The 12,794-nt window shown below is 41.3% G+C and overlaps 1 annotated feature.

The window, feature by feature from the left end:
• Positions 8,006-8,507: an enhancer, noted in NCBI's record as "H3K4me1 hESC enhancer chr10:102214151-102214652 (GRCh37/hg19 assembly coordinates)". NCBI's record gives its function as "activates a minimal SCP1, AML or CMV promoter by ChIP-STARR-seq in naive H9 embryonic stem cells {active_cell/tissue: H9 hESC(naive)}" and the evidence as "EXISTENCE:reporter gene assay evidence [ECO:0000049][PMID:30033119]".

The raw sequence follows: 12,794 nt of genomic DNA, 5'->3' as shown, positions 1-12,794 counted from the left end.
CAAAAGAACACTCCAGGATCCTCCCAGACAAATGCAGAAGAAGGGGACCAGGAGAAAGAGGACAAAGAAAGAAGCGGGGGGAAGAGACATAGCAAATCCCCTCCACATAATCACTGCATGGAGTCTCTTTCCTCCCTCTTGCCTATCCCCTCCCATCACACCACAACCTTTTCCCACCTATGCACACTTACACACACACACACACACACAACACACACACACACACAGCCTGGTCCCCAAAAGGGATCCAGAAAGGACTGTGCTTTCCTGGTTGTCCTCTGTAGCACTTTGAGACTGAATTTGCATTCAGGATAGCATTTTTTTGTTTGTTTTGTTTTTTCAGAAAAAAATACACCAGGTGCAGGTGAACCTCCACCCTCTGATTTGAGAATGTGGGGATGCAGTCCTACCATCTAGTGTATTCTCTGTCTAAGTTAGAAAGGCTAGAAACTTCAGGAAGCCCGATGGTTTTTTCTTCCTTTCAACTTTTTCATCACACAATTACTTACCAAATGCCTATTTTATTCTCAACACCACCCTAGGCATTGTGGAAATTTTTAAAAACCAAAACATGATTTCTGCCCTAACAACATTTACAGCCTAGTAAGGTGACAATAAAATAACGCAGTTTAATAAAGTATTAGAAAGCTACAAACTGCCTATAATAGTGTAGGCTTATTTAGGGGAGGTTTTCTGAAGAAGGTAGAATTTGAGTTTCGAAGAAGGAAAGAGATTTCAATAGGCACACAAAGGTGATCTCAAAATCCCTACTTTCTTAAACTCAGGTGGCGGAGCCAGGAGGGCACCCAGGCCCTCGCTCACACTTCTCTGGGACTCTGCTCCTTCTGTTCCCTAGGGAGGAGGGTGGCCTCAGCCACAGCACTGGGGATCCTCAAAGGGCTCCAGACTGATGTCTATGTAGCCATATAGCCCCATCTTTTAAAAAAAATTTCAGTTAACTTTTGTGGATACATAGTAGGTATATATATTTATGGAGTACATGTACATGAGATATTTTGATACAGGCATACAATGAATGCATGATAATCACATCAGGGTAAATGAGTATCCATCACCTCAAGCATTAATCCTTTGTGTTACAAACAGTCTAATTATACTCTTAGTTACCATGTACAATGAAATTATTATTGACGATAGTCACCCTGTTGTGCTGTTGAATACTAGGTCTTCTTCATTCTTTCTAACTATTTTCACACCTTCTACTTTAGCATCCGCATCACCTTTCTTAAGGTCTCCCTGAGACAATGGTCTTTGTTCTTTTCTTTTAACCTTGTTCCTCTTGCTCCAAAACCCTCTCTGGCTAGACTGAACCAGAAAATAAAGAATTAATACACAAATTCACTTTCTCCATTACCTAGGCCAGACGATTTAGGGGGTCTTCACCTCAGTATCTTAACTGTGTAATTTTGTTGTCCACATGGAATCTTCTAGACCAAGTCTTTATTTGGGGCTCCAAACCTTATTGTGAGATGAGCTTGGTCAGTTGTGGCTCCTACACAAACAACTTTAGGTCCTCCTCTCTCTTCATTCAGAAAGGGAGCAGTAGAGTCTATTTCAGGCCAAGAGTCAGGTTCTAGGAAGATAAGGAGCAATGACTCCTGGATTTCAGCCTTGACTTCTTCCCTGACCACAGTTTTTGCCATTTACTTGACTAGAGAACTCCTAAGGGATGCAAAAATTCATTGGGAGGTAGAGCAGATTTGGGCAGTTTTTGTGTAAAAAGGGAGAGCTAATTTAAAATGAGTTCATTGAGGCACTGTCCTATCCCCTTAGAATTTCTTCCACAAAGGAGAAAGTTAAGACTTTTATTGTTTGTTTATCTATCTGTCTGTCTGTCTGTCTGTCTGTCTGTCTGTCTGTCTATCTATCTATCTATCTATCTATCTATCTATCTATCTATCTATCTATCTATTTATTTTTAGAGACAGGGTCTCGCTATTCTGTCCAGGCTGGTCTCATACTCCTGGCTTGGCGAGATCATCCAGCCTTGGTCTCCCAATGTGCTGGGATTACAGGCGTGAGCCACCACGCCTGGCCTACTTTTATTGTTTTGCACAAAATTAATACATTCTTATAATAAAAACTTAAACATGACAGAGATAAATAGTGCAAATCCCCTTTGATGACCTGCCTTCTCCCCTCTAGGATAACAGCAGTTAAGTTTTAGATGGTCTTTCAAGAGGTTTTATATGCATATGTAAATATGTATATAAACATTTTCCACAAAAATGAGATTATATAAATTATATTTTGCAAATTGCTTTTCTCATTTAGTAATATGCAACTTTCTTTTTTAAATTTTTTTAATTTTAAATTTTTTTTATTATACTTTAAGTTCTAGGGTACATGTGCACAACATGCAGGTTTGTTACATATGTATACATGTGCCATGTTGGTGTGCTGTACCCGTTAACTCGTCATTTACATTAAGTATATCTCCCAATGCTATCCCTCCCCCCTCCCCCAACCCCACAACAGGCCCTGGTGTGTGATGTTCCCCACGCTGTGTCCAAGTGTTCTCATTGTTCAATTCCCACCTATGTGTGAGAACACATGGTGTTTGGTTTTCTGTCCTTGCGATAGTTTGCTCAGAATGATGGTTTCTAGCTTTATCCATGTCCCTATAGAGGACATGAACTAATCCTTTTTTATGACTGCATAGTATTCCATGGTGTATATGTGCCACATTTTCTTAATCCAGTCTATCATTGATGGACATTTGGGTTGGTTCCAAGTCTTTGCTGTTGTGAATAGTCTTTATAGCAGAATAATCTTTTGAGTATATGCCCAGTAATGGGATGGCTGGGTCAAATGGTATTTCTAGTTCTAGATCCTTGAGGAATCACCACACTGTCTTCCACAATGGTCGAACTAGTTTACAGTCCCACCAACAGTGTAAAAGCGTTCCTATTTCTCCACACCCTCTCCAATGCCTGTTGTTTCCTGACTTTTTAATGATCGCCATTCTAACTGGTGTGAGATGGTACCTCATTGTGGTTTTGATTTGCATTTCTCTGATGGCCAGTGATGATGAGCGTTTTTTCATGTGTCTGTTGGCTGCATAAATGTCTTCTTTAGAGAAGTGCCTGTTCATATCCTTTACCCACTTTTTGATGGGGTTGTTTGATTTTTTCTTGTAAATTTGTTTAAGTTCTTTGTAGATTCTGGATATTAGCCCTTTGTCAGATGGGTAGACTGTAAAATCTTTCTCTCATTCTGTAGGTTGCCTGTTCACTCTGATGGTAGTTTCTTTTGCTGTGCAGAAGCTCTTTAGTTTAATTAGATCCCATTTGTCAATTTTGGCTTTTGTTGCCATTGCTTTTGGTGTTTTAGTCATGAAGTCCTTGCCCATGCCTATGGCCTGAATGGTATTGCCTAGGTTTTCTTCTAGGGTTTTTATGGTTTTAGGTCTAACATTTAAGTCTTTAACCCATCTTGAATTAACTTTTTTTATAAGGTGTAAGGAAGGGATCCAGTTTCAGCTTTCTACATATGGCTAGCCAGTTTTCCTAGCACCATTTTTAAATAGGGAATCCTTTCCCCATTTCTTGTTTTTGTCAGGTTTGTCAAAGATCAGATGGTTGTAGATATGTGGCATTATTTCTGAGGCCTCTGTTCTGTTCCATTGGTCTATATCTCTGTTTTGGTACCAGTACCATGCTGTTTTGGTTACTGTAGCCTTGTAGTATAGTTTGAAGTCAGGTAGCGTGATGCTCCAGCTTTGTTCTTTTGGCTTAGGATTGTCTTGGCAATGCGGGCTCTTTTTTGGTTCCATATGAACTTTAAAGTAGTTTTTTCCAATTCTGTGAAGAAAGTCATTGGTAGTTTGATGGGGATGGCATTGAATCTATAAATTACCTTGGGCAGTATGGCCATTTTCACGATATTGATTTTTCCTATCCAAGAGCATGGAATGTTCTTCCATTTGTTTGTGTCCTCTTTTGTTTTGTTGAGCAGTGGTTTGTAGTTCTCCTTGAAGAGGTCCTTCACTTCCCTTGTAAGTTGGGTTCCTAGGTATTTTATTCTCTTTGAAGCAATTGTGAGTGGGAGTTCACTCATGATTTGGCTCTCTGTTTGTCTGTTATTGGCGTATAGGAATGCTTGTGATTTTCGCACATTGATTTTGTATCCTGAGACTTTGCTGAAGTTGCTTACCAGCTTAAGGAGATTTTGGGCTGAGACGATGGGGTTTTCTAAATATACAATCATGTCATCTGCAAACAGGGACAATTTGACTTCCTCTTTTCCTAATTGAATACCCTTTATTTCTTTCTCTTGCCTGATTGCCCTGGCCAGAACTTCCAACACTATGTTGACTAGGAGTGGTGAGAGAGGGCATCCCTGTCTTATGCCAGTTTTCAAAGGGAATGCTTCCAGTTTTTGCCCATTCGGTATGATATTGGCTGTGGATGTGTCATAAATAGCTCTTATTATTTTGAGATACGTCCCATCAATACCTAGTTTATTGAGAGTTTTTAGCATGAAGGGCTGTTGAATTTTGTTGAAGGCCTTTTCTGCATCTATTGAGATAATCATGTGATTTTTGTATTTGGTTCTGTTTATATGATGGATTACATTTATTGATTTGCATATGTTGAACCAGCCTTGCATCCCAGGGATGAAGCCAACTTGATCGTGGTGGATAAGCTTTTTGATGTGGTGCTGGATTCGGTTTGCCAGTATTTTATTGAGGATTTTTGCGTCGGTGTTCACCAGGGATATTGGTCTAAAATTCTCTTTTTTTGTTGTGTCTCTGCCAGGCTTTGGTATCAGGATGATGTTGGCCTCATAAAATGAATTAGGGAGGATTCCCTCTTTTTCTATTGATTGGAATAGTTTCAGAAGGAATGGTACCAACTCTTCTTTGTACCTCTGGTAGAATTTGGCTGTGAATCCGTCTGGTCCTGGACTGTTTTTTGGTTGGTAGGCTATTAATTGTCTCAATTTCAGAACCTGTTATTGGTCTATTCAGGGATTCAATTTCTTCCTGGTTTAGTCTTGGGAGGGTGTATGTGTCCAGGAATTTATCCATTTCTTCTAGATTTTCTAGTTTATTTGTGTAGAGATATTTATAATATTCTCTGATGGTAGTTTGTATTTCTGTGGGATCGGTAGTGATATCCCGTTTATCATTTTTTATTGCGTCTATTTGATTCTTCTCTCTTTTCTTCTTTATTAGTCTTGCTAGCGGTCTATCAATTTTGTTGATCTTTTCAAAAAACCAGCTCCTGGATTCATTGATTTTTTTGAAGGGTTTTTTGTGTCTCTATTTCCTTCAGTTCTGCTCTGATCTTAGTTATTTCTTGCCTTCTGCCAGCTTTTGAATGTGTTTGCTCTTGCTTCTCTAGTTCTTTTAATTGTGATGTTAGGGTGTCAATTTTAGATCTTTCCTGCTTTCTCTTGTGGGCATTTAGTGCTACAAATTTCCCTCTGCACACTGCTTTGAATGTGTCCCAGAGATTCTGGTATGTTGTGTCTTTGTTCTCGTTGGTTTCAAAGAACACCTTTATTTCTGCCTTCATTTTGTTATGTACCCAGTAGTCATTCAGAAGCAGGTTGTTCAGTTTCCATGTAGTTGAGCGGTTTTGAGTGAGTTTCTTAATCCTGAGTTCTAGTTTGATTGCACTGTGGTCTGAGAGACAGTTTGTTATAATTTCTGTTCTTTTACATTTGCTGAGGAGTGCTTTACTTCCAACTATGTGGTCAATTTTGGAATAAGTGTGATGTGGTGCTGAGAAGAATGTATAATGTCTATTCTGTTGATTTGGGGTGGAGAGGTCTGCTCGGTGCGGAGCTGAGTTCAATTCCTTGATATCCTTGTTAACTTTCTGTCTCGTTGATCTGTCTAATGTTGACAGTGGGGTGTTAAAATCTCCCATTATTATTGTGTGGGAGTCTAAGTCTCTTTGTAGGTCTCTAAGGACTTGCTTTATGAATCTGGGTGCTCTGTATTGGGTGCAATATATATAAATATATTTAGGATAGTTAGCTCTTCTTGTTGAATTGATCCCTTTACCATTATGTAATGGCCTTCTTTGTCTCTTTTGATCTTTGTTGGTTTAAAGTCTGTTTTATCAGAGACTAGGATTGCAACCCCTGCTTTTTTTTTGTTTTCCATTTGCTTGGTAGATCTTCCTCCATCCCTTCATTTTGAGCCTATGTGTGTCTCTACACGTGAGATGGGTCTCCTGAATATAGCACACTGATGGGTCTTGACTCTTTATTCAATTTGCCAGTCTGTGTCTTTTAATTGGAGCATTTAGCCCATTTATGTTTAAGGTTAATATTGTTATGTGTGAATTTGATCCTGTCATTATGAAGTTAGCTGGCTATTTTGCTCGTTAGTTGATGCAGTTTCTTCCTAGCACTGATGGTCTTTACAATTTGGCATGTTTTTGTAGTGGCTGGTACTGGTTGTTCCTTTCCATGTTTAGTGCTTCCTTCAGGAGCTTTTGTAAGGCAGGCCTGGTGGGGACAAAATCTCTCAGCATTTGCTTGTCTGTAAAGGATTTTATTTCTCCTTCACTTATGAAGCTTAGTTTGGCTGGATATGAAATTTCTGGGTTGAAAATTCTTTTCTTTAAGAATGTTGAATATTGGCCCCCACTCTCTTCTGGCTTGTAGAGTTTCTGCCGAGAGATCCGCTGTTAGACTGATGGGCTTCCCTTTGTGGGTAACCCGACCTTTCTCTCTGGCTGCCCTTAACATTTTTTCCTTCATTTCAACTTTGGTGAATCTGACAATTATGTGTCTTGGAGTTGCTCTTTTCAAGGAGTATCTTTGTGGCATTCTCTGTATTTCCTGAATTTGAATGTTGGCCTTCCTCGCTAGGTAGGGGAAGTTCTCCTGGATAATATCCTAAAGAATGTTTTCCAACTTGGTTCCATTCTCCCTGTCACTTTCAGGTACACCAATCAGACATAGATTTGGTCTTTTCACATAGTCGCATATTTCTTGGAGGCTTTGTTCATTTCTTTTTACTCTTTTTTCTCTAAACTTCTCCTCTCACTTCATTTCATTCATTTGATCTTCAATCACTGGTACCCTTTCTTCCACTTGATCAAATCAGCTACTGAAGCTTGTGCATGCATCACGTAGTTCTTGTGCCATGGTTTTCAGCTCCATCAGGTCATTTAAGGACTTCTCTACACTGTTTATTCTAGTTAGCCATTTGTCTGATCTTTTTTCAAGGTTTTTAGCTACTCTGCGATGGGTTCAAACATCCTCCTTTAGCTTGGAGAAGTTTGTTATTACAGATCATCTGAAGCCTTCTTCTCTCAACTCGTCAAAGTCATTCTCCGTCCAGCTTTGTTCCGCTGCTGGCGAGGAGCTGCGTTCCTTTGGAGAAGAGGCGCTCTGATTTTTAGAATTTTCAGCTTTTCTGCTCTGGTTTCTCCCCATCTTTGTGGTTTTATCTACCTTTGGTCTTTGATGATGGTAACGTACAGACAGGGTTTTGGTGCGGATGTCCTTTCTGTTTGTTAGTTTTCCTTCTAACAGTCAGGACCCTCAGCTGCAGGTCGTTGAGTTTGCTGGAGGTCCACTCCCGACCGTTTTCCTGGGTATCACCAGCGGAGGCTGCAGAACAGCAAGTATTGCAGAATGGCAGATGTTGCTGCCTGATCCTTCCTCTGGAAGCTTCGTCTCAGAGGGGCACCCGGCTGTATGAGGTGTCAGTTGGCCCCTACTGGGAGGTGTCTCCCAGTTAAGCTACTCGGGGGTCAGGGACCCACTTGAGGAGGCAGTCTGTCCGTTCTCAGATCTCAAACTCCATGCTGGGAGAACCACTACTCCCTTCAAAGCTGTCAGACAGGGACGTTTAAGTCTGCAGAAGTTTCTGCTACCTTTTATTCAGCTATGCCCTGCCCCCAGAGCTGGAGTCTACAGAGGCAGGCAGGCCTCCTTGAGCTGCGGTGGGCTCCACCCCGTTCGAGCTTCCCGGTGGCTTTGTTTACCTACTCAACCCTCAGCAATGGTGGATGCCCTGCCCCCAGCCTTGCTGCCGCCTTGCAGTTCCATCTCAGACCGCTGTGCTAGCAGTGAGCGAGGCCCTGTGGGCGTGGGACCCTCTGCACCAGGCGCGGGATATAATCTGGTGTGCCATTTGCTAAGGACGTTGGAAAAGCGCAGTATTAGGGTGGGAGTGTCCCGATTTTCAAGGTACTGTATGTCACAGCTTCCCTTTGCTAGGAAAGAGAATTCCCCGACCCCTTGAGCTTCCCCAGTGAGGCAATGCCCCGCCCTGCTCCGTGGGCTGCACCCACTCTCTGACAAGCCCCAGTGATATGAACCTGGTACCTCAGTTGGAAATGCAGATATCACCCATCTTCTGTGTCACTCACGCTGGGAGCTGCAGACTGGAGCTATTCCTATTCGGCCATCTTGGAACCTCTATACAACTTTCTATGTTAGGGTCTAAAGATCTCTCGGCCAGGCACGGTGGCTCATGCCTGTAATCCCAGCACTTTGGGAGGCTGAGGCAGGTGATCGCAAGGTCAGGAGTTCAAGACCAGCCTGACCAACATGGTGAAACCCGTCTCTACTAAAAATACAAAAATTAGCTGGACGTGGTGGCATGTGCCTGTAGTCCCAGCTATTCAGGAGGCTGAGGCAGGAGAATCACTTGAACCTGGGAGACGGAGGTTGCAGTGAGCCGAGATCGCACCACTGCACTCCAGCCTGGGCAACAGATCAAGACTCAGTCTCAAAAAATATATATATGTATCTCTTACTCTCAATTTTTTAAAGAGCAGGATAGTATAAATTGTCAGGTATACAAGTAATCTTATTTTGCTCAATATTTGGGTTGTTTTCAGTCTAATAAAGGAATTGGCAGTTTTTCTTTCTTTTTTTTATTCTTCGGGTATTTAAAAGGCAACTTTTTCAACACCTGTGAAAAGAAGGGAACAAAAAAAGTCAACTTTTTAATTTATTTTAATTTGGATTTAAGTATTGCTATTTTAATCACCTTGATACTGGAGGATAGAGTCTTTATCTCAATGGTTGAGGTACAATGAATTATAAATAAATTTATCAGTTCCATCAGGTTTTGTTTTCAACTTTATAACCCTCTCATTATTTTCAAATCCTAAGTCTGGAATTTTCTCTTGGTGCCCTCAAATCAGAGGCCTCATGTAAAAATGAACTACATTTGCATTTTTCCTCTTAAACAGACTATATTACATTATTTGATTTACTATTATTAATAATTAAAAATCAGATATTCTTAGATCTCTTGGGTTTTTTTTTTTTTTTTTTTTTTTTTTTTTGAGAGAGAGACTTACTCTGTTGCCCAGGCTGGAGTGCAGTGGCGCCATCTCAGCTCACTGCAGCCTCCCGGGTTCAAGCAATTCTCCCTGCCTCAGCCTCCTGAGTAGCTGGGATTACAGGCACCCACCACCATGCCCAGCTAATTTTTGTAGTTTTAGTAGAGACGGGGTTTCACCATGTTGGCCAGGTTGGTTTTGAACTCTTGACCTCAGGTGTTCCACCTGCCTCAGCCTCCTAAAGTGCTGGGATTACAGGCATGAGCCACCATGACCGGCCTCTCCTGGGATTTTATTTTATTTTATTTTTTTGAGATGGAGTCTAGCTCTGTCACCCAGACTGGAGTGCAGTGGCGTGATCTCAGCTCACTGCAATCTCTGCCTCTCTCCTGGAATTTTATACCAGAAACTAATATATTGAAGCATTTTACAACCAAATTTCTTTTTTTTTCTTTTTTTTTTTTGAGACGGAGTCTCCCTGTTGCCACCTGGGCTGGACTGCAATGGCATCTCAGCTCACTGCAACCTCTGCCTCTTGGGTTCCAGCGATTCTCCTGCCTCAGCCTCCCAAGTAGCTGAGATTACAGGCACCTGCCACCAGGCCTGGCTAATTTTTGTATATTTAGTAGAGACGGGGTTTCACCATGTTTGCCATGCTGGTCTCGAACTCCTGACCTTAGGTGATCCACCTGCCTCAGCCTCCCAAAGCGCTGGGATTACAGGCGTGAGCTGCTGCACCCGGCCTGACAACCAAATTTCTTAATATTCTTCTATCCTAGTTCATCTTCCAAAGGTGTTTGCTTAGTGTTATTCTTTTAGACATAAAAATGTGAAAATTAAGCTAGAGGGCAGAAAAGCAATATACTGAGTATCCTTAGAGATAGTACTGTTTTAAGTTATTATTATTAATGCCCTGACACTTTATTCTCTATTTAAAACTTTGATAGTGGCACATTTGCTTTGTTGTACTTTTCCCTAAGAAAATATGGTGCATGAATGTGTCTATTTAATTGGCAAAAATGTAATAGCCTATGATGTGTCAGGCCCTGTGTAAGACTCTGAATCAGTGATAGAGGAGGCTACCACCACATTGATAGTTCCCTGGAAGAACAGACTAGTAAACATTCAAAATTGCCAAGGGAGAGATATGCATGGCGTGCCTTGGGAGCTTGTAGGCGGTGTACCCAAAGGAACAGGGGAGAGGCAGAGAGACCTCCTAGAAGATGAAGAGACTTGGTTAAGTCTAAAACAAAATGAAATAAGAGTTCATCAGTAGTGAAAAAAAGGAAGGGGGTTTCATATAGAGGGAATAACAAAAGGTATTACAAATGTGTGAAGCAACAGGGTACATTGGAGAACTATTAGCCCATTGTGGCTGCAGTATGTGGAACAGGGAGGGAGAAGAAAGGCAGGTCGGGCACAGTGACTCACGCCTGTAATCCCAGCACTTTAGGAGGCCAACGCAGGCGGATCACCTGAGGTCAGGAGTTCGAGACCAGCCTGACCAACATGGTGAAACCCCGTCTCTACTAAAAATACAAAAATTATCCAGGCATGGTGGCGGGCACCTGTAATCCCAGCTGCTCAGGAGGCTGAGGCAGGAGAATCACTTGAACCTGGGAGGCGGAGGTTGCAGTGAGCCGAGATCATGCTATTGCACTCCAGCCTGGGGGACAGAGCGAGACTCCCCTTCTCAAAAAAAAAAAAAAAAAAAAAGGGAAGAAGAAGAAGAAGAAAGGCCAGAGAAATTAGGTAGTATGCAGGGGAAGAAGCGCCCATTCTAAGGAGTTTGGGTTTTATCATCATGAAGGCAATTGGAAACCATCAAAGGGTTTAAGCAGACATGTAATATAAAATGTATACATTAGAAGACTTATTTTTTGGCAGTGATGAAAAATGGCTTAGATGAGGATGAGATTGGAGGCAGAGACAATTTAGGGCCAGTTGCAGAAATCTGGGTGAAAAAAGACAAAGACTGAATATGGCAGTGAATAGAAGAGTATTGAATTAGCTATTTAGTATAATGAAGGACACTGTGATTGAATATTTGGTGCTTCATACTCACTAAGTATGCAAGATTCATTTGCTAATATTGAATCTATTGTTCTCTAGAGTATTTTTTAAATGTGTTATTAAAGTTGATTTGAGGACAATTAACATTTAGGTAAACGTGTCATTTTAAATTTAACTTGGCATTAAAAAAACCTTTTTCTATAAACAAAATAGACTAATGGAAATATATCTTTAATATGTACGTTGAAAGTAAATATTTTTGGGCCGGGCACGGTGGCTCACGCCTATAATCCCAGCACTTTGGGAGGATGAGGCGGGTGGATTACCAACACGGTGAAACCTTGTCTCTAGTAAAAATACAAAAATTAGCTGGGCATGGTGGCAGGTGCCTGTAATCCCAGCTACTCAGGAGGCTGAGGCAGGAGAATTGCGTGAACCCCGGCGGCAGAGGTTGCAGTGACCCAAGATTGAGCCACTGCACTCCAGCCTGGGTGACAGAGTGAGTCTCAAAAAACAAAACAAAACAAAAAAGGTAAATATTTTTAATATATAAAGAGCTATAACAAACCATTAGAATGAAAAATGTCCAATTTTAAAATGGCAAATTCATATGGATAGGCTCTTCAAAAGTCAGAAATAAAAAACACCTGAGAAGCAGATGAAACTATTTACCTTGGCCGGGAGTGGTGGCTCACTCCTGTAATCTCAACCCTTTGGGAGGCCGAGGTGGGAGGATCACGTGAGATCGGGAGTTCGAGGCCAGCCTGGCCAACATGGAGAAACCCCGTCTCTACTAAAAATACAAAAAATTAGCTGGGCATGGTGGCAGCTGCCTGTAATCCCAGCTACTTGGGAGACTGAGGCAGGAGAATCACTTGAACCCCAGAGGGTGGAAGTTGCAGTGAGACAAAATTGTGCCACTGCACTCCAGCCTAGGTGACAGAGTGAGACATTGTCTCAAAAAAAAAAAAATTTACCTTTACTGATTATAAAAGGAAGATTAAAATAACAAGACATCACCTAACTCATCAAATTGGCAAAGATTTAAAAAAATAAGATCCAATATTGTGTTGTCAAATGGCTATTTTATATACTGCTAATAGGAGTGTGAATTAATCCAATGCTTTTGAGATGAATTTGATAACATGAATTTAAAACTTTAATCATATTAATACACTTTGACCCAAAAATTCCACCTTTAGGAATTTATTTTAAGGAAGTAATCATATGATGTTTATAAAGATTATACACAAGGGTGTTCATTGAATTATTACAACTAATAGCAGAGTGCTTTTGGAGTGTCTGCCCAGCTCATGGGCAGTTTATAGGCTATCTAACCTCCAGTGGGGGGCCTCTGGCAGTAATTTTGTACCACATGACCTCAGCCCTGACCATAAATGATGTAACTAAGTGGGTAACTAAGTGGGTACTCTCCCCAGCTGAGCCAATCAGGTTTCCTTCCCTGGAAATTTGGATGAGAGAGAGAATGACAGA

This window comes from Homo sapiens, chromosome 10, assembly GCF_000001405.40.
Source record: "Homo sapiens chromosome 10, GRCh38.p14 Primary Assembly".
Taxonomy (NCBI): domain Eukaryota; kingdom Metazoa; phylum Chordata; class Mammalia; order Primates; family Hominidae; genus Homo; species Homo sapiens.
Note: the sequence above shows the minus strand (reverse complement) of the source record. Positions and strands in the feature narration are given on the sequence as shown.